This window comes from Homo sapiens, chromosome 11 (genome assembly GCF_000001405.40).
Source record: "Homo sapiens chromosome 11, GRCh38.p14 Primary Assembly".
In the NCBI taxonomy this organism is placed as follows: Eukaryota; Metazoa; Chordata; class Mammalia; order Primates; family Hominidae; genus Homo; species Homo sapiens.
This window is the reverse complement of record NC_000011.10, coordinates 44,239,370-44,260,376: the sequence shown is the minus strand read 5'-3', so window position 1 is coordinate 44,260,376 and position 21,007 is coordinate 44,239,370. Positions and strand designations below refer to the sequence as shown.

General features: G+C 43.7%; 1 protein-coding gene across 9 annotated transcripts in view; it reads right to left on the bottom strand.

The window, feature by feature from the left end:
* EXT2 (exostosin glycosyltransferase 2) overlaps positions 8,415-21,007 on the bottom strand; it is a 156,285-nt gene continuing 143,692 nt past the window's right edge. For 8 of the 9 annotated variants that reach the window (XM_047426529.1, NM_001389630.1, NM_001178083.3 and 5 more), the window contains one exon: positions 8,415-16,228. In XM_047426529.1, the coding sequence (XP_047282485.1) occupies positions 16,090-16,228 (139 nt within the window). In that variant the 3' untranslated portion in view covers positions 8,415-16,089. The remainder of the gene's footprint in view (positions 16,229-21,007) is intronic. The other variant, NM_000401.3, reaches the window with a different exon arrangement.

Here is a 21,007-nt window from a genome sequence, read left to right as displayed (position 1 = left end):
GAAATCTCACATTAATTGAAGTCGGCAAAAAATACTAACAGTGCCCTTTTGAACTGCTGACACAGTACAGAAGGGATTACCAGGGCTAGATGAACAACAGGTGGCCGGCTGATGCTCCTGCACAAAGAAGGGGTGCGTGGCCTGTGAAGGTCTGGGACATACCCAGCCCCCTTGTCCCAGAGGACCTGTCTGCACTGCAGGGAAGCTAGAAGGGGGCAGGGGGTACCAGAACCCACTTCTCAGGCAGCCCAAAGGGTCGCAGCAGCAACTCTTTGCCTCCCCTGCATCTGGGGTGTGCTTGGCACAAACTGTGCCGTGAGGTCTTCACAACCAGCACTGCCAGCCCCTCGGTGCCACTGAGTACCGTTCTGTTCCCAGGGGCTGTTCTGAAAGCAGGAGAGCCAGAGCGCAGAGGTCCAGGCTGCTTGACACCAGGAGCACAGGGTGGACCTCCAGGAGAGGCGGGTCCCAGTTCTGGCTCTGCTACTGAGTGGGCAGGGGAACTGTCCTTCCAGGACATATGGCCAGACAACTTTTAAAGCAAACCTCTGAAGACAAATTATGAAGCAGAAGGAACCCAGGTTCTACTGTCGTATAGGTGTTTCCTTGCTTTCCAGCACGAAGGCGACTCAGGAAGAGGCAGTCAGCCTCCAAGGGACCACTGTGTGGACAGGGAGTCATTTTTGTTGACCAAACCAGCTGAGTCTAAGTTCTCACATCTGAAGGATAGAAACAAGCCCTGTCCCTGCTTAGCTTACCAATGGAGGGGGGAGGATTAAGTGGACAATGTCCATGCATGGGCTTTGTAAGCCGATGTGGCATAGTGACATAAGGGACAATGATTACTCCCAGAGAATGACATCTCCCTCCAGCTCCCAGCTGTGAGTCTGATAAAACAATAACAACAACAACAAGCTCCATTTTATCCTCTCTTTCCAACTATTTGGACATTGTTCTCTTGGAACCACATCTCAGATTTGATACCTGTGTCAGTGCATTCACATTCAGTATAGACCCAACTGGGTTTTAGGTTGACCTGGGCTGGGAGCTTGTTTTTTTAAAAAATGACACCTGTCCTATATTAGGGCTCAGGGTCATGGTAGCACTTGGACACTCCACACCAAATCACTGCCAAGTCACAGGGCAGGAATTGAAGCAGAGAGGGAGAAAAGCCATGTGCAAACCACATGCGAAACCACGGGGTGTTGTCTCTACCTCACACCCCTGCTTCTTCCTGTGGGAGCTGAGCACCCCCCAAATCCTTCAGAGTCCAGATGAGCACCACTGCTGAAGAGGAAGACTGGCCTGATGTGTGACTTAGGCATCACGGGGGATGCAGGTAGCCCACCCCTGGGACCTGTGCCTCCAAGTGGTCTCTGGGGAGAACAACGACAAGGCCAGGGCCAGCAGGGCCTCCTCTGACTGTGGACTACGGCTCAGCCCTTCACTGGGTCTGACCACCCAGCACAGCTTGTTGTTCCCCAAGCCATCTAGGCCTTTTCACCTGGCCACACCACTGGACTTGCTATCTCTTCTTAGAATGCCTCTATCTCCTCCCTAGATCCCCTCCAATGCACCCAGCCACTCTGCAGTGTATCCTCCAAATGATAGCACCCTCTGTGAAGCTCTTTCTTAAGCCCATGCCCTCACCTCAACTTCCACCCCTAGGTCAAAGGCTGCCCCTCTGGCCTCCACAAAACTGTTTGTGTCATAATACCATGATGGCACATGATACCGTATATCTATTTATCCATCTGACTTCCTCACATCCCAAAGAGGAGACAGGCTGTGTTCACATCCGAATGCCTGAGAGAATAAGAATGTTAGGTAATGTGCGAATGAGTGAATGAATGGGAAGGTGAGAATAAAGAGATGCTCTGTTTTGATTAAGGGTGGGAGGAGGGAGGTCAGAGGACACTCAGGGATTCGTTTTACAGACAGCTGGAAGCTGACTCAGCCCACTAGAGATCTTCCTGGAGTGTCAGAGCCTCTGCTTGACCATGAACCTCATCCACCCCATTCCTCCAGGGTTCACATGCATTCAAGATGAGCTGTGGCCACGGCAGTAAACCTGGCCTGTTTATTTAGTGTTGCCGGGGTTGGGACAGCACTGGTCAGCACCAGGCCAGCTCCCCAAGATGGCGCAAGAGGTCCTGTGTCCAAGAGTGCACATCTGGAAGCTTCTCGACTTGTCCCTGGGCTCAAAGCCCACTTTCTCCAGCATCCCTGGATAATCCTCATGCCCTTAAGCCCTCCACTCTCAACTCCAGCTTCAGCGACTGGCTGAAGACAGCTCCTTTCCTGCCTTGGTGCCAACCCCAGCAGAAACCACTCTTGCCTTCAGCTCATCACCAATCCCATTGTCCCAGGTCTTGCTACAGGCAACACAGCCAACCCCAGGGCTCCACAAGCTGGCTGGGCCATGTGACAGCAGAATCTTCAATCTGGCGAGCAGGGCGTGGAGTGGTGGTGGTACCTCTCCTTCCACAGGTCTAGACTTGCATGCTCAGCAGCTAAGGAACAATAGGCTCTCCACAAATAGCCAGTTCCCCAAAATAGGGCTGACGGCAAACTGTGTATGTGCACAAGTGAGAAGATGCAAGTTAGCGCCAGAAGACAATGGGGTGTGAGAGTTGAAATTTTCCCAGGAATTCTGTGTGATTCCAAACAGATTTTTTTTTAAGCTCAACAAAGACCAACAGGCTTGAGGAAGGGCAAACCTCCACAGGGAGCTTCAATTTATGAGCATGTGTACACCATGTGTTAAGGTGTTGCCTTAACTAGTTGGGAGAAAACCCACTGTACTGCCTGCATGAGATCTGCCCGGAACCCCAATCAGGATGTGGTTCTTAGATGTGCAGAGGACACAGTGTTCTTGCCTTGCCTCCTGGGATTTCTCTTTGGTTGCATCACAAGCCCCCTCTCCATCCCTTCTCTGTCCTCTACCCACAGCGTACCTCTGTAATTTCCAGGCGCTTCTGGAAAGGAAGGGGCTCCCTGTAGCTATGATAGTAGGGCCAAGCTACACCATGGGAAAGAATGAAAATAAATGAGAGTGTGTATGTGTGTGTGTGTGTGTGTGTTGAGAGGACAGGGGAAGGGGATAAAAGCCTAAGGAAGAATGAAACACAAGGCAAACCATAGCTCTTCTCCAAGATAGGTATGGACAGAAAGCACTGTCCAGTTGAAAGCATGGGAGAGCACTGGCCAGGAACCCACGTGGTGAAGCAAGAGACAGGAGACATGAGTTTAAGATCTGACTTTGAAACTTACCTCTGTCACCTTCGGCAAGCCACAAAAATGCTTTCATTTTCAATTTTTTCTTCTGTAAAATGGGGATAGCCAACTGTTTCCTGCTTATCTCATCAGGTGGTTACAAAGTCCAAAAGTTAAAATATTTGAAAATAGTGAAGAGTTGTACAGTGGGGGAATCATGCACACTGGAGGCTGGGAAGGCCAAAGGGTTGACTTCCATCCAAGTGGCTAAGGGCAGGGTGCCAAACATTGGATAACTGCTTCACAAGAGTGACACCATACTATGGAGCACTGGGAACATCCGATATTATGTTTATCAGATGGGCGGGGGTGGGGAGGCAGTGAGGGACCTGGGGGAGAGTAGTGTATTAATCTGCTTGGGCTGCCATAACAAAATACCACACAGTGGGTGGCTAACAGACATTTATTTTCTCCTAGTTCTGGAGGCCAGAAGTCCGTGATCAAGGTGCTGGCAAATGTGGTTTCTGGCCTCTTTCTGGCTTATGTTAATAGAAGACTGCCTTCTGTGTCCTCACATAGCCCTTCCTCTGTGTACACATGTAGATAGGTCTGGTGCCCCTTCCTCTCTTAAGGACACCAGTCTTATTGGAGTAGGGTTCCACATTTGTGACCTCACTTAACCTTTATTACCTCTTTAAAGGCGCTATCTGCAAATGCAGTTACATTGGGGGTTAGGGCTTCAGTATATGAAGGGAGGGCACACAACAAGCAGTGTGGCTGGTATGTGTTATAGGGGTGAGAGGAAGGCACAGAAATGGACAGGGGGCTGCTTTTCCCATCCCCATATCCAAAAGGGTCTCAGCATTCCCAGCAGCCTATCTGGTTCAGTGCCCTTTCACTTTCTACCCAGGCTACTGCTAAGTGGTTACATCTAATTCCCAGTCTCTCCCTGGTCCACTCCATCAATAATAGGGATGCCAAAACCCAGCTCTGATCCATCCTTTACCAGCACATTAACCTGAACACCTTCACACAGCCTACAGACTGGAGTTCCGGCTCTTTCATATAGCCCTCAACTCCTGTTCAGCCTTGCTGTTTCTAATTCCCCAGTCTGGGCTCTGTGCTCCTGAAAACCTAGGACATCCTTTATATTTTCCCATCTTCTTGTTTCCTTTCACTCCCCTCAGGTCGAATGCCTGCCCCAACATGCATCTCTATTTGCTAAGGATTTTGCAATTATGTTCAGGAGGGTTATCGGTCAACACACCCCTGTCCACCTAATGCCCATCTTCATATATTAACTCTTCACAGCCCCTTCAAGTGCTACCTCTTTGACCAAGTCAGAAATAATCCTACTCTCCCTCCACAGTGGGGAATGTGTGCAATTTGCCCTTTGTCATGCACTGCCTTATACAGCAGATAGGACTATAACTGATTAATCTCCTGTGTTTATCAATTCAACGATGAGTTCCTTGAAGGTGGAAAAGATGTCTCCTTTGCCTGTTTATCTGAAGCACCTGGCACGGCATCCCTCACATGGCCAGCATTTAATAAATGTCAGCCGCCTTGCTGGCAAGTCTGCATTCCATACCAAGAACGCACCAGACTGAGGCAATGGGACTGGAGGCATTCTAGATCCTGAGGCCCTAAGTAAACACCCAGGTTAAGGAAGGAAAGATATACCAGTCCAGGATAAAACCAAGGAACTGAGAAGATGATATTTTTTAACCATCAGCTTTTTTTTCTTTTTTAAATCAACACTTCATACATATAGTATGTACTCTTTTGTGTCTGACATTTTTTTTTTTTTGCTCACCTGTTTTGGAAACTCATCCATGTTGTGTCACTCAGTAGTTCAGTATTTGTATTGCTGAGCTGTATTTCATTGTATGGATATACCAGAATTTGTCTATCCATTCATCTGCTCTTGAACATTTGACTTATTTCCAGCTTTTGGCTATTCTGAATACAGCTGGCTATGGACATTTGTGTGCAAGTTTTTGTGTGGATATGTTTTCTACGTTTTTTTTTTTTCTTTAAACAATCCCGGTATGGAATTTTGTCAAATGCTTTTTCTATATCTAGTGAGACAATCACACAAATATTCTCTTTTACTCTATTGTGAATTACATTGATTTTCCAACATTCAGCCAACTTTGTATTCTTTAGTCTTGCTGTATCAATCTGCCAATATTTTGTTAAGGATTTTGCATTTATGTTCAGGAAGGCTACTGGTCTGCAGTTCTCTTCTTGTAAGGTTTTTATCTGGCTTTGGTATCAGGGTAATAATGGCCACTTAAAATTAATTGAAACATACTTCCTCCCCTTCTATTTTCTGAAAAGGGTTTGAATAAGATTGGTATTATTTCTTCCTTAATTGTTTGATAGAATTAGCCAGTAAAACTATATGGACATAGGTATTTCTTTGCAAAACATTTTAAATTACAGATTTCTTTAACAGATACAAGGGTATTCAGATTTTCCATTTCTTCTTCAGGCAGTTTTGTCAATTTGTGTCTTTCATGGATTGTGCTCATTTCATGTAAGTTACAGAAATTATTGTTATAAAGTTCATATTTCTTAGTCTGTTTGGGCTGCTATAGCAAAATATCTTAGACTGGTAATTTATAAACAATAGAAATTTATTGCTCACAGTTCTGGAGGCTGGAAAATCCAAGATCTAGGTTTTGGCAGATTTGGTGTCTGGGTAGGGCCCACTCCTTATAGATGGCACCTTCTAAGTGTCCTCACATGGTAGAAGGCACCAATGAGCTCTCTCTCAGGTCTCTTTTATAATGACACTAATCACATTCATGACAGCTCTGCTCATGAGCTAATTACCCACCAGATGCCCCACCTGCCAACACCAGTGAACTGGGGATTAAGTTTCAACACATAAACTTGGAGTGGAGTGGGGTTGTGTGTGGGGAGGCTCACAAAAATTCAGATCATAGCAATGTATTGTCCTTTTAATATGTTTAGAATCTGTTCCAATGTTGCCCTCTGATTCTTGATACTGTAATTTGTATCTTAGTTCCTTTTTTTTTCCTTTAGCGGTCTTGAGCAGTTATTAATCTTTTACAAAGAACCAGTTTTTGATTTTTTCCATTGTTTTCCATTTTCTACTCCATTGGTTTCTGTTCTTATCTTTATTCTTTCTACTTACTTTGGGTTTATTTTGCTCCTTTTCCTAGTTTCTTAATGTAGACTTTTTTTCTAATTTAAACTCTTCAAGCTATAAATCTCTAAGTACCCTACAAATTTAATACAGTTTTCATTTTTACTCAAAATATTTTCTAATTTCCTTTGTGTCTTTATTAATCCATGCATTATTTAGAAACGTGATTTAATTCCTAACTATTTAGGATATTCTCAGATAGCTGTTATTGATTTCTAATTTAACTTCACTGCGGTCAGGTAACTTTTTAATGTTCAATTCCTCTAAAATTACTGAGACTTATTTTTGTGTAACACATTTGAGGTAAATGTTGCATGTGCACTTAAGAAGAATGTGTATTCAGCTACGCAGATGAAGCGTTCTGTAACTGTCAATTAAGCCAACGTTGTTGACAGTGTTATTCATGTCATCTACATTTTTCTATCAACTTGTTATATCAGTTACTGAGAGAGGAGCATTGAAACATCTATATATAATTGTGGGTTTTCGACTTCTCTTTCAGTGTTAATTTTTGATTTATATATTTTGAGGCATTGTTATTTAATGCACACACATTTTTAGGATTATCTTGTTCTGTCTTCTTGATGAATGGGCCTCTTTATCATTATGAAATGTTCCTCTTGCTCCCTGATGATATAATCACTCTCACTTTTTCATGACTAATATTTGTATAGTACATCTTTTCTACCCTTTTACTTTTTAAACTTAACTTTATAGGGGTTTTCCTTGTAGACAGCATGTAATTGCTCTTGCTGCTTAATTCAGCCTGATAATCTCTGCCCTTTAATTACAGTGTTTAGATCATTTACATTTAATGTAATTGGTGACATGTTTGGGTTTAACCCTATCTTGCTCTTTGTTTCCATTTGTTCCTTTTGTCCTTTGTTTACTCTTCTTTTCCTGCTTTCTGATTGAGTATATTTTTGATATTCCATCTCCAGTATTGCCTTATTAGCCTTGTCTCTTTTAAAAGTGATTTTTAGTGGTTGCTCTAGAGTTTACAGCATGCACTTTTAATTTATCACAGGTATCCTACAGACACCTTCCTGGTTTTCTTCCTAATTCACTGGCAACTACTTCGTCTCCTTTGCTGGTTTTTCTTTTTATTCTCTACCTGTAAATGTTAGAGTGGGCCTAGTACTTGGGCCCCTATCCTTGTCGCCTTTCTAACTACACTAATTCTCTGGGTAATCTTATCAAGTCCTAGGGTTTTAAATCCCATCTTTATTTTCAGTCATAACTTTTCCTCTGAGCTCTAGATAACCAACTGTTTAAATGACACTATACCTTAGATGTCCAATAGACATCTTAAACTTAACATGTTCAAAGTAGAGCTCTTGATTTTTCTCTCTCAACATTTCCTTGCCCTCACCCTGTTCAGTCTGACACATTTCAGCTCATGGTATCATGCAGTTACTAAGGATAAAAACCTTGGAGTTACCTGTGAATCCTCTTTTGTTTTCATCTCTTAAATTTAATTCATCAGTACATCCAATAAACTCTACTTCCAATATAACTTCTCACCACCTCTGCTGCTACCATCCTAGTTTAGGTCACCATTTCTTTTTTGGGGTCCCTAAGAGTGTCCTAGCTGAATTCCTTTCTTCTACTCTTGCTCCTTACAGCCTACTGTCCACTCAGTAGCAGGGATAACCTTTTTAAAAATGCCATTCAGATATGTCACTCTCTTGCTTAAAACTATCCAGTGTCTTCCCATCACACTCATAGTAAGACTCTAGAATCCTTCTGGCCCATATGATCCTAACACAATTTGGTACCAGCCTACCTTTCTGGCATCATCATTTATCATGCTCTCCATACTCAATATGCTTCAGACATTATTCTTACAGTTCTTAAAATAAGCTGAGCTTGTTCCTGCCTGAGGGTCTTTATACCAGCTCTTCCCTCTGCCTGGTGTGCTCATGGTTCACTCCTCAACATTTACATTTGTGCTTAAATATCACCTCTGATCAACCTACCTAAAATATTTCCAAGTCATTATCCACATATAATACTCTGCTTTATTTTCTTCACAGCATTTATTGACATTTGAAATTATATTCAGTCACTTGTTTTGGTTATCTTCCTCATTAGAATGTAAGCTTGACGAAAGTAGGTACATTGTTTTGTTCAGTGCCATATCCTCACACCAAGAACAGTATCTGGCACACAATAACTGCTCAATAAGTATTTGTTGACTGAAGGAACCCATCACATCAGGTTTTTTTATTTTTTAAGGGAAAAGAATCTTTTTAAGACAATAGACTTAAAAACATAAATGAAAATTTACTTTCTTCTGGTCCTTTCTCTGGAAGTAAATTAAATTTTGTTGTCAGATGCAATTCTCTTCAGTAATAGCCTTCAGGTTCAGATTGTGAGCATGAAAAGATTTCTTTACTGAGTGATTTAACCAGAGTAATCTGTACCGAGAAGTAAATAGTCACAGCCCAAGGTGTGAAACAATGTCGTGTCCTGCTCATAATGGTCTCATGGGATACTTTTATTGTGCTGTTAAGGCCTAAAAGAACCAAAAATCATTTCTTAGGAAGTTCTCCCTCCAGGTATTTCCTAACCCCCAGACTTCCACACAGCATATAATACACTGCAGTGGACTTCCAAATGTTTCCTTTCTATTCCAACCTCATCCAAAGTCATCCTCTCCACTGAGATGGTATAGATGACATGAGAGTTGAAAGAGCATCAATCTCTTATTAATGGATATTCATCATTATGACTTCCAAAGAAGGGCCAGGGTACAACTGGCAACTGGAAGGTGCTATGAAAAGAGAAAAAAAAAATCCTTGAATTCTCCATGCATTAGACAAGATGGAGTTAATGGAACCCTCATTTGGCCAAGTTGTAAGATATCAAACCAACTGGTGACAAAAAGGCTGTTAGGAAAAAAATTATTGGAACTATATCCAGAAAACAGGACAAGGTATTTTGGTGCAGGGTAGACAGAAGAGAGGAGATCAAGGTGAGCCCCCAATGATCTACTAGAGAAAGACTATTGGAAATCCTATAGGAGGTGCTGCCACCAATGTACAATTTTCGTTAATTACCTCAATTGTGGCTGTTATCCCCTTAATGAGAAACATAACTTTACTTCTAAGCAGGCAGTGACGCTGGCAGAAAGTTGAAACCTGAAAATCAGCAGATACAGGGTTGCATATAACCCTTTCTATTGAAATTAAGCCACATAGAAAACACAGGGAGAGGACTCCAAATAGCTTCAGACAGCAGCCAGCCATGCAGGGCCCTCACCAGGCACCGGATGGACGCTCTCTGGACTCCTCAAAAGAGGCCCAAATCACAAGTGCTCATTTCAATAACATAAGAAAATAAACATGGGGCTTATTTATAGCACAGGAAAGGGACTGGGGCAAGAGAACTGCTCATTTGGTAATCCACCCTGACGGGGCCAGATAGGATCCAGACCCCCAGGCTCTCTGGTAACACGGTAAGCAGAAATAGGGGCCGGAAGAGGGCTGGCTGCCAGCATCACCAGGTACAATCTGGTAAACGATCTGGTTAATAAAAGGGGAAGAGATATGATACATCATTCCATCTCACCAACTCAGGCATAAGTGCTCTTGCTGTCTCCAATTTCTGGCTGAGGAAACTAAGGCATGGTCAAGGGAAGTCACTGTGAGAAAAGGACATTTTAAAGCTTCTTGCATCCTCCATACATTGGAGAAGATGGGGTTAATGGAATCCTCATTTACAGCTGGGACTAAAACATACATGCTTAGAGTCCTGGGCCACTGATGGACTCACATCATCTTACCAAGCTCAAGAACTCCCACTAGAACTGGAGCTCAAGAACAGGATAGGGACACTGTCTTAGTCAACTCTAATTGCTATATCTCTTGGGCCTACCACACTGCCTGGCAAAGACAACATTTTCTCTTTTGAGACGGAGTCTTGCTCTGTCGCCCAGGCTGGAGTGTAGTGGCACAATCTCAGCTCACTGCAAGCTCCACCTCTCAGGTTCACGCCATTCTCCTGCCTCAGCCTCCCGAGTAGCTGGGGCTACAGGTGCCTGCCACTATGCCCGGCTAATTCTTTGTATTTTTAGTAGAGATGGGGTTTCACCGTGTTAGCCAGGAGGGTCTCGATCTCGTGACCTCATGATCTGCCCGCTTTGGCCTCCCAAAATGCTGGGATTACAGGCATGAGCCACCATGCCCAGCCAAAGACTACATTTTCATGAGAAAATGAATAGTTAGCATAACAGAATGACTGAATAAATGTTCTCTTCCCTCATCTGGATCAGTAACTAGTTGGTTGGTCTTCAGCTGTGCTCACCAGAAAACCAAATGTTCCTTGAGTTGATGCTTGGGTATAGTAGCCAATGATATATTTGCAGCTATAAGTAAAATTCCAAATAAATATATTCTAAAGGGAAGGTTCTATATGGTGGCAAGGCCTGACTGGTGGCTTTGGTCTAAGACATATGGATCCCTCCTCTGTCAGCCACTCCCACACCACCTGCAATTCCTGAGAGGTTGTCCACAAGATGGGGCTTTGCTGAGGAAGCCTCTAGCAGACACAGCTGCCTGGTACTTCTTGAGAACTACCTTGTCTTCTGTCTGATAGTTCTGTGCCTTTCAGGGAGAGTGGGAAGAGATGCAACCAGTGGTCCAACCAACTGAGAGCAGAAGAAAGGAAAAAGTGCTATCCTGGGCCAGGCATGGTGGTTCACACCTGTAATCCCAACACTTTGGGACGCTGAGGCAGGAGGATCACTTGATCCCAGGAGTTAGAGACCAGCCTAGGCAACATAGTGAGGCCCTGTCTCTCCAAAAAAATTAAAAGATCAGCCAGGTGTGGTGGTGCACGCTTTTAGTCTCAGCTACTTGGAAGGCTGAGATGGGAAGACTGCTTGAGTCCAGGAGTTTGAGGCTGCAGCGAGCCATGATCACAGCACTACACTCCAGCCTATGGGACAGAGTGAGACTCTGTTTCCAAAGAAAAAACAAAAAAAACAAAAACAAACAAACAAACAAACAAAAAAACTCTACCCTGAAATGGTTGCAAATGTGAAGAAACAAAATGCCAGATACAGATGCTGGTGACTCAACTATTTCTTGAAAAGGAAAGAGGCCTGGAAGCTTGGGAGAGGGGGCCAAACTTTCTCTGGTCATCTTCCCACTGTTGCCAGCAATGGTGAGCCGGAAATTGAAAGAATGACACAAGGTTGCCTGTACAGACCCACACACCCTCCCAGGAAATTGGGGAAGCTGGGCATCCCTAACAGTCCATTTAATGGAGGTGGAAAAGAGGCTGTGGCTTGAGCTTACAATGCCCTCACCCAGTCTTCAGATGAACTCACAGCTCCCACCCTAAAATGAGGGGGAAACATTAAAATTTAGAGTGGGTCTTGCCTGCCTGACTTTCCTCTGCCAAGATAAGCTCAATAAGGCCTGTTCACAGATGATGCATGGCTGGTATAATGGGACCAAATGCTGCCCTTGATTCTACTCAGAAGTAGAAAGTGGGTGAGTACCAAACACAGGCCGAGGACAGGAGGTCCAGGGCTTGGACAGAGCTCAGGGGTGAGGTGAGTAGGGGCAGGCCCCACAGGTTTCATATGCCTCCAGGCCCTGCAGTGGAAAGCTCAAGTTGCTTTCAAAGTCTCTCTGGATGGAAGCTGCTGCCAATATGGTTAACACTCCTGCCAGAACTGCTCCTCAGGAAGTGGCTGGAGGAGACATGGGGCCAGTTTAGCATTCTCTACTCTGCCTCTCTGTGCCAGGGCTGCTTGGGGAACAGCCCACTGTGGCTTCTCTTGCTGCAATGGAAGAGTACCCGAGCCAAGAGAAATGGAAAAAGCAGCATACCCCCAAAGGAGCTACAAAGCAAAGGAAACACACCAGGCTCATGATGGGTGGCTGATGGGAAGTCTCCAACACCCAAAGCCTTTACTCTATCAGCTGGGTCCTCACAGGATCTAACTGCAGAGCTAGGAAGAGCCTTCCCAGAACCCAACCACTTCCCAAACCCAGTCTCTGCTTCATCTACTTTCTGATTACTATCTTGGCTGAAAACTATCAAAGGTTCTTGGATTTTAACCTCAAATCAACTTCAGAACCTGTGGCTAGAAACGTGCTATCTTTCAGTGATAAAGACGCTCTAGTTTCCTCCTGGCATGGTGCCTGTCAGAGGCTATCATCCTAGAAGGAAGCTAGGATCACAGGGTTATTAGCAACATCTTTGGCCAATGAGAGCAAAGAGGGAGCTTGTCTCTTCCAGCTCCCAGTCTGCGTCAGCACAGACCAGCATGATGGTCACTATTTTCCAAAGGCAGCAGAGAAACCAGCACTTAAAAACCACAAGTTCAAAGCCCAGCTGGAAGTAGATGAGGCTTTGGCAGAGAAACCAGGGTGGTCAGAGCTTTGAACTTGATGACACTGAGTAAAGGATACAGTGGCTGAGCGTGGGGACTCACGCCCGTAATCCCAGCACTTTGGGAGGTCAAGGCGTGCAGATCACCTGAGGTCAGGAGTTCGAGACCAGCCTGGCTAACGTGGTGAAACCCTGCCTCTACTAAAATTACAAACAAATTAGCCAGGCGTGGTGGCAAGCGCCTGTAATCCCAGCTACTCAGGAGGCTGAGGCAGGAGAATCACTTGAACCTGGGAGGCGGAGGATGTAGTGAGCCGAGACCATGCTATTGTTGCACTCCAGCCTGGGTGACAAGAGCAAGACTCTGTCTCAAAAAAAAAAAAAAAAAAAAGGATACAGCAGAGCATCACTGGCAGGAAAGAACACAAGATTCTGACAACTAAAGTTGCTGTTTTTCTCTTTAATTCTCCCAGAAAAGGAGGTTTATACCTAAATGTGTGAGGGTTGGTAAAATACATGAGATAAACATTTTAACAACTATGTAATGTTAATCAGCAAAATAAAAAAGTATTTCCAGCCCTGGCATTCCAAGCAGGCCCATCCCAGTTAGGCCCCTGGGGGCAAAGCCAGTGGCTCAGTGTGCACTTGGGCCAGGGCCAGTTCAAGTTCGTCTTCTCTATAGGCCAGTAAGATGTGTTTCTTTAAAAAGATTTCTTAATCTAAAACCAGCTGTTGTCTGCTGTAGGCCAGAACACGACATTTTAATTAGCATGATTGTTCTGCTTCTGAAACCAGGCTCTATGGCATCCCGAGGACAGATGATCCTGACCTAAGCTTATGGGTGAGGTTTGCTGGTTAGCAGCTCAGAAATACACGAACAATAAAGTGGAGTCCCTAGCCCACTCTGAATCCATGAATCGCCATCACCTGCTATATCCCTGTCTTGAATTTCTACGGTGACTGTACCACCTATCTGTTCATAGGGTAACATCACCTTTGAGGTTGTTTCAAGTGCCTAGGATATAATGCTCCTTCTTTAACATAAATTGTTTTATGCTGTGTTGCAAGATCTAACACCCAATATTCCTGGGAGTAATGAGGTACTTTAAATGGAGTTGTAATGCCTTTAAAGTCCAATGACTCCTATGACGATGATAAAGTCACACAGCTCTCTAGGGCTCACAATGAACTCAGATGAAAGAGTTCCTCTTCCCAAATCAAAGGACTCTCAAGATTTTAAAAAATAAAAATTTAAAAATGTACCCTTTGGGAGAGAAGCTGCATTAGAAACCAGCCACTAAGGTAGTGCATTCGATGATGAGCAAAAGGGCAGAAATTTGAAGAAACCAGGGCAATATGACACATACACAATGCCAGCACAGTCCATAGCTTTCAGCAGAGATTTCAATGTAAGACCCTCCCCTATACCTGCCCCACATCTTGGAAAACAAACTAGAAAACCCCTAGAAAGATTAGAGGTCCTCACTGTGCTTGTCAGCCTCTGGTACCTGGGTGACAACAGAAATATTTTTCCTGGCTTTCTACCATATCGTCCCCAATATTATGAATACATGAGACCAAAATGCTTTCCCATGTCTCCTACTGACCAGTACACATTACCCAAATCAAAAGTATTTGGTAAGCACCTGTGTTTGCTGCTGTCAGAAACTGAAAAAAATCACTTCAGTTTCTGCATTTGCAAAATGAACATCTGCAGCTTCAGTTTCTGCATTTGCAAAATGAACAAACTGGATGAGATGATCGCTTGCCCCCTTTGGCAATAATAGTCCATGATTCGATCACTTATTCAAATGAAAGAAGACAAAACTCTTATGATTTCCACTTCCAACTTTGCTACTTCTGAAACTTTCTTTGACCTCTCAAAGTCTGGGGAACACATCTGAAGTGACTCTTGATGAAACTACAGCATAATAACTGCCCACCTTCATGTCACTCAACAGAACAATGGATGGTGTATGACTGACGCTGACTGGCAAAACAACTAGGTTTCTGTAATTATATCCATATTCTAAGCAAATTGTTATGTATTTTGTGTTTTGGGGACATATGTTGTGGCTAAAGCCCAAACTGTGGCTAATCTTAATATCAGAGCCAGATAAATCTGTTTCGAATCCATAACATTTAACATTCGCCAGGGTAGATTTGTTCATCAACTGGGCTTAAAGAGGTATAATTCACACATGTGCAGTATTAGTAAATGCTGAAATTTAATGATTTAAATATACCAGCAACTGTTGCAAAGCAGTTGTATAGCAGCATTTAACGTTAGCCAGAACCTCCCTGGCTAATGTTAAGTTTATACCAAAAGAATGAGAGAAATTTTGGCATCCCCTTGGGATGGGGGTCACAATTCCCACAACTTTTACGGGTACCAGCTAGAGCGACTCCTTGCATGGCTAGTACAGACCCTCTGTTTTTCTCTGACAATACCTTTAAAACATTGACTGGATCTAATCAGGAAGCAAACAGATTCCTCTGGAGGTTTCTGAGTCATCTGTTCTTAAAATGGTTATGATTTGGGACCTTCTTACGCTTGATGCAGAGGGTATCAGACATTCCTCCTGGCGTGTGTTCCCAGACATGGGCAGAAGACTGTTGTCAGGCCAAAGACGGAGTTAAATATATCAAGGGAGAAAGGTGGTTCCTTGGACTATCAGGAATTGGTGTTTAAGACACAGTAGAAAAAGGAATAAAAAATAATTTTAATCATATCAAAAAGCCAAACCAAAGAGGAATAGCTCATGGAACTGACAGGATCCTGACTCAGCGGCTGGTGCTCTTCCTGTGCACAAGCCCAGCACTCCAGGTCCCAAGGCATTTATCAAATCCCACCAAGATGTTTGGCTTTTGCACCGAATTCTGGGTTTGGTTCCCTGAAAGAACTCATTGATGTAAATAACTAAAAGTGAGGTCTGGGTACCCTTTACATGATTCCCCAGACCTCAAATGGGCTAACACGCTTCTCTTCTCCAGCAGTCTTCCTGTCCGTGAAGTTTCCTTCCAGATTGTTACATGGAACTGAAAACAAAGGGAGCCTCAGCTGGATTTAAATCTGGAGCATGCCACAAAGTCTTCCACTTGGCATTTTCGAGAAGAACCCATCAGAGATCATAAGAAATACAAGAACAGAGGTTGCATAGCTCGAGGTGCTTGGATATTCATTCTAGGTTCTTGTTCTTGAGAAAGTGGGTTAGGTGGGTGCATGCCAAGATCCAAGTAGGTCAACCTTCCACCCTTAACCTACTACTCTGACATCAGAGTGCTGGGAGGCCTTGTTCTCTCCCTCTGTCCCAGCCTCACATTCAGACCTCCACCAATGACACGTTTCATAAGCTGCCAATGTTGGGGAAGCTCTTCAGCTTCTCAGGAAAGTCATCTTTGTACAGGACAGGGTCAGCTCGGTGTTCCACCACCTTGAGAGGCATGGTCCCGAAGACTGAAGCAAACTTGTTGATGCACTCTGACCTGTGGGATTTGGAGAGGAGGTGGGGAGGAGGGGTTTGAGCAGAATGAGAAGGATGGGGGCAGGGAGAAAAGATAGTATGTTCAAGAGGTTGAGAGATAACAGCAAAATACATAATGTTCAACATCAACAAAAAAAGCTCAAGTAGCCACAGTCTGCTCCCAGGTTCTTAAAAAGGTTGACAGGTGTGGAAAAAAGCGGTGAACTGGGGGTACTTGGACTATTAGTTCAGTGGGAGAACGTGAACAGGAGATGCTGCTTGGAGGCCACGGGCCTGCAAAGGTCAGAGTATCTTTTCCCCTCCCCCTCAAATTCCAGTCATTCCTCCAGCTCAGTGTGAGAGGGCCTCAAACCAAGGTGGATTAGCTGCCAACAATTCTTAACCCCATCTCTGCCAGCTAAGAGAAGGCAAAGGATGGAAAGAAAAAAAACTACTTGGATCTGAGCTTCAGTTTACTGAAGTTTAAAAGGCAGAGGAGAGATCTTGCTCACAAAATGATGAAAGGCAAAAAAAAAAAAAAAAAAAAAAAAAGGTGACAGGGCCAAATTTCAAACAATAAACACTTCATTCATTCAACCAACATTGACAGAGGGCCTGTAAGTGGCAATTTCTGGGAATTATGTCAATCTGCACAATCTTCTGTGAAAGCTGAAGTTCACATAGGACAGCCTTCATAATTTTCATCATTTTTGTCACTCCCATGTCAGAACTTTTAGCAACAACTACTTCAGTGCCAGTGCAGCACAGCACCGCCAGAGGAGGGGAGAGGCTGTCTCCCTATCTCCACCTCACCCCCAAAGTCAGCCTTCTCAGAGGTGAGCAGGTCAGGCATGTGTTCGGGAATGGCTCTGGTCAATCAGGCCAACTGAGTGTGACAGCTGGGTAATGAGGACGCTTCAGCATTAGGCCAGAGGGAAAACGCCTGGAAAAGCTGCTTTTGAAGTCAAGGGGACCTCAAGGATGGATTTCAGAAAGGTCAACACTCTTGCCTCAGTCGGGCCCAGGACATCTGAGAGCACTACAAAAAGAACAAACTTCTCTCTTGGTCATTATGTTTCTAAAAAAATTTGTTATTATTTCATTTTGAGCTTTTAACTCATAACATCATCATGTCCACCAACACCACAAAGCAACAACTACCATTTACTGTATGTTCCAAGCTGTGTTAAAATTGCTTTCTATGCATTAATAATGCATTTAATCCTCACAACAACCCTATGGGGTAGGACTATCATTCCCATTTTATAATGGGAAGACTGAGATACAGAGAGGATAAATAACATGTTCAAAGGTCAAATAACTAGAAAAAGCTAGAGCCAAAGCAGGCATTCTGGCTTCTGAGGCAAAAGTCTTAATTAGATGATACAAATGTACTTATTAACACAATTCTAGGGTCCAATGAAGGGGACTGGAAATTAACAACTGCTGAGCACCTATTATGTGACAGATAATTTACATACATATCTCATGGATTGCTTAAAGTAATCCTCCCCCATACTCATCACCCCCCTTGCCCAACTATTGGGTGTATAGTAGCCTCATGTTATGGGTTAAGAAATTAAGGTTCAGAGAGGTTAAGTAACTTGCCCAAGGACCCAGGGGTAGAATGTGGTGGAACTGGGTTTTAAACTCAGGTTTGAGCTGGCAATAGAGCCTGCTCTTTGGATCACACTCTACCATTACATGCCAGTGACTGAGTGTCCCTCCTGCTGGAAGTCTTTTGAGACTCAGGAGGTGGTGTTCCTAGTTCCAAATTGAAGGGAGACTGGGAAAAGATGGATGAACTTTAACAAAGTGAGGTGGACCAAGCGTGGGACAACAGCTTCCCTCTCTTCAAATTATGGGGTCAAAGCATGGCAGATAAAATCAAATCTCTCCAAGGTTTTACTTTTGACTGTTGTTCCGCCTGTAAATATGTCCAGATTCTTCTCATTTCTAGTTATGCATACAGACTCTGGCCGGCAAAGCCCAGCTGTTCCCAGCATAGGTACTAGCAAGTACGTATTAAAGAAGAATCCTGGTTCTTGGCAGAGGATAGCGGTTCCAAGGCCCTGTAGAGAGTATTGAGGACAATGTCTCCTCTGTAACTAGATCCGCCAACAGGAATGGGTCATAGGCAAGAAGCCACTGGGGCTCAGGCCAGCTTGATTTGTTGACAGCTGCCCCTGGCTAACCCAAGTCTAGTGAGTACTTCTTTCTCCTTCATACAGGCCCACACTGGAGAAGCGGCAGGCCTCCACTGAATGGTCAAGGTCCTTAACTCTCCTGCCAGGTAATAACAGTGCTTCCTACTTTTTCACACAGGGGGTCTGGGTTGGAGAGCAGGTTAGGGGAGACAGGACTTTGGCTGGTTGCCGGTGGCCCACATGAGCTGTTGTCAGGGGTCCAGCTACCATGTCAGTAACCATTCTCCTGTGTTGGTTTTCCAATCAAGTATAAACACACCAAGAACTGCCAGTGACTCTCTCTGAAGTGATGAAGGTGTCTGGGGAAGAAAGAACTAATGGTTTTCTATTTTCCTTTCAAACACATACCATTACTTAAAGTAACCAGGAGTCTTTAGGACTAACACTGGGGAAACCGGGAAGGAAACTAACATTCCCAGGCCCTGTGCTACAGGCTTTCATGTATCACTACTTCATTTATCACTACACATAACAGCTTGGGTATAAAGATGCTCAATAAATATTTGTTGAACCTATGAATGGACATTGTAATTTGACAGATATTAATATCCCTATGTTAGGAGATGAACAGATTGAAGTTCGGATAAGGTAAAGTCAATTTCCTTAGGTCAGACAGCTAATAAGTGTGGCAAACTCATCATTTGAATAAAGATTAGCCTAATTCAAAATACTATGTTCTTTTTTTTAAGTCAATACTGTCTGCCCGTCATATTGCCCTAACCTTGGTGAAGACACTTGTCAAAATGAACAGCGACACATGCTTCTGACTCTTAAAGAACTAACAGCGGATCCTGGAAATGGAAGCTGGGTAGTAATGGAAGCTACTCTCCTATACAACTGAGATTTCTGATCCCAGACCCCCAAATATAGGAATAAATGAGCTACTGAACCACAAAACCCAACACAAGGTCACACACACTTGTAAAGTGGCTAACTGCTTTCATTGTTTTGCATAAAATGTGTATTCTGCAAAGATTATTATTAAAAATAAAACAGCTGGGCATGGTGGCTCATATTTATAATCCCAGCTACTCAGGTGGCTGAGGCAGGAGGCCTGTCTGAGGCCAGGAGACCAGCCAAAGACAGGGGGAGGGAAGAGGAAGGAAGGATGTATTCTACAGTTGTAACATCATCTCTTTATCTACCCAAGATGGCTTAACTCATGTCTTCTTCCCTCCCTATCTAAATGCCTTATTTAATAATTCAGTGACTCAATTTTTAATATAAATAGTTTTGTTCCCAGTTGCTAATTTATTTCCATATTTGTTTCCTTCTATTCTCTGTTAAATTTCTCAAAAGCATAGTTTACATTCACTAACTCTACTTCCTCACTGTCGACTCATACTCTATAACCCTTTGGCTTCATACTCTATGACATTATTATTATTTTTTTACAGATAGGGATTTTGCTATGTTGCCCAGGCAGGAGTGCAGTGGCTATTCACACAGGTGCAATTGTAGAGTGATACTGCCTTGAACTCCTAAGCTCAAGTGATCCCCTTGCCTCAGCTTCCCAAGTAGCTGAGACTAGAGGTGCCTACCACCACCCCTGGCTATTATTTTTGTAAGGTACCAACAACCATTGAATTCAAAGACCTTCTCCAGCCTGCCTGTTCCTTGTTCCTTCCATGCTTCTGAGCACTGTATATCCTGGTTCTCTCCTGGCTTTTCCAGTGGTTGCCTCTCTGTTTTCAGTTACTCTTTGTGTCTCCTAAATGCCAGAATTTCCCAAGAGTCTGCCTTTGCTTTTCTTTAGTCAACTGCTGTCTCTGGACAGATGACTGCCAAATACAGTTAGCCATCCATATCCAAGGGTTCCATGTTTGTAGATTCAACCAACCTTGGATCAAAGATATCTGGAAAAAAACTGCATCTATACTAAACATGTACAGAGTTTTTTCATGTCATTTTTCCCTAAACAATGCCATGTAACAACTATTTACATAGCATTTATGTTGTATTAGGGATTGTAAGTAATCTAGAGATGATTTAAACTATAAAGAAGGATATGCGAAGGTTATATGCAAATCCTAGGCCATTTTATATAATGGACTTGCGCATGCGTGAAGATTGGTATCCTCCAGAGGTCCTGGGACAAATCCCCTGTGGATACCGAGGGATGACTGGGCTCAACATTTTTTTTTAAAGTTCTTTCTGAAATTCTAGTTCCACATATCTATATCTTGATATACATACATAAAAGTATATACAGAGACTGATTTGAGTAATAATAAAACTCTGGTCTTCCAAAAAAAAAAAAAAAAAAAAAAAAAAGCCAGGCAGGGTGGTTCATGCCTGTAATCCCAGCACTTTGGGAGGCCGAGGTGGGCGGATCCTGAGGTCAGGAGATCAAGACCATCCTGGCCAACATGGTGAAACCCTGTCTCTACAAAAATACAAAAAATTAGCCGGGCACGGTGCCACGTGCCTGTAGTCCCAGCTGCTCGGGAGGTGGAGGCAGGAGAATCACTTGAACCTGGGAGGCGGAGGTTACAGTGAGCCGAGATTGCACCACTGAACTCCAGCCTGGCAAGAGAGTGAGACTATGTCTCAAAAAAAAAAAAAAAAAAGTATATACAGAGGGAAAGACCCCC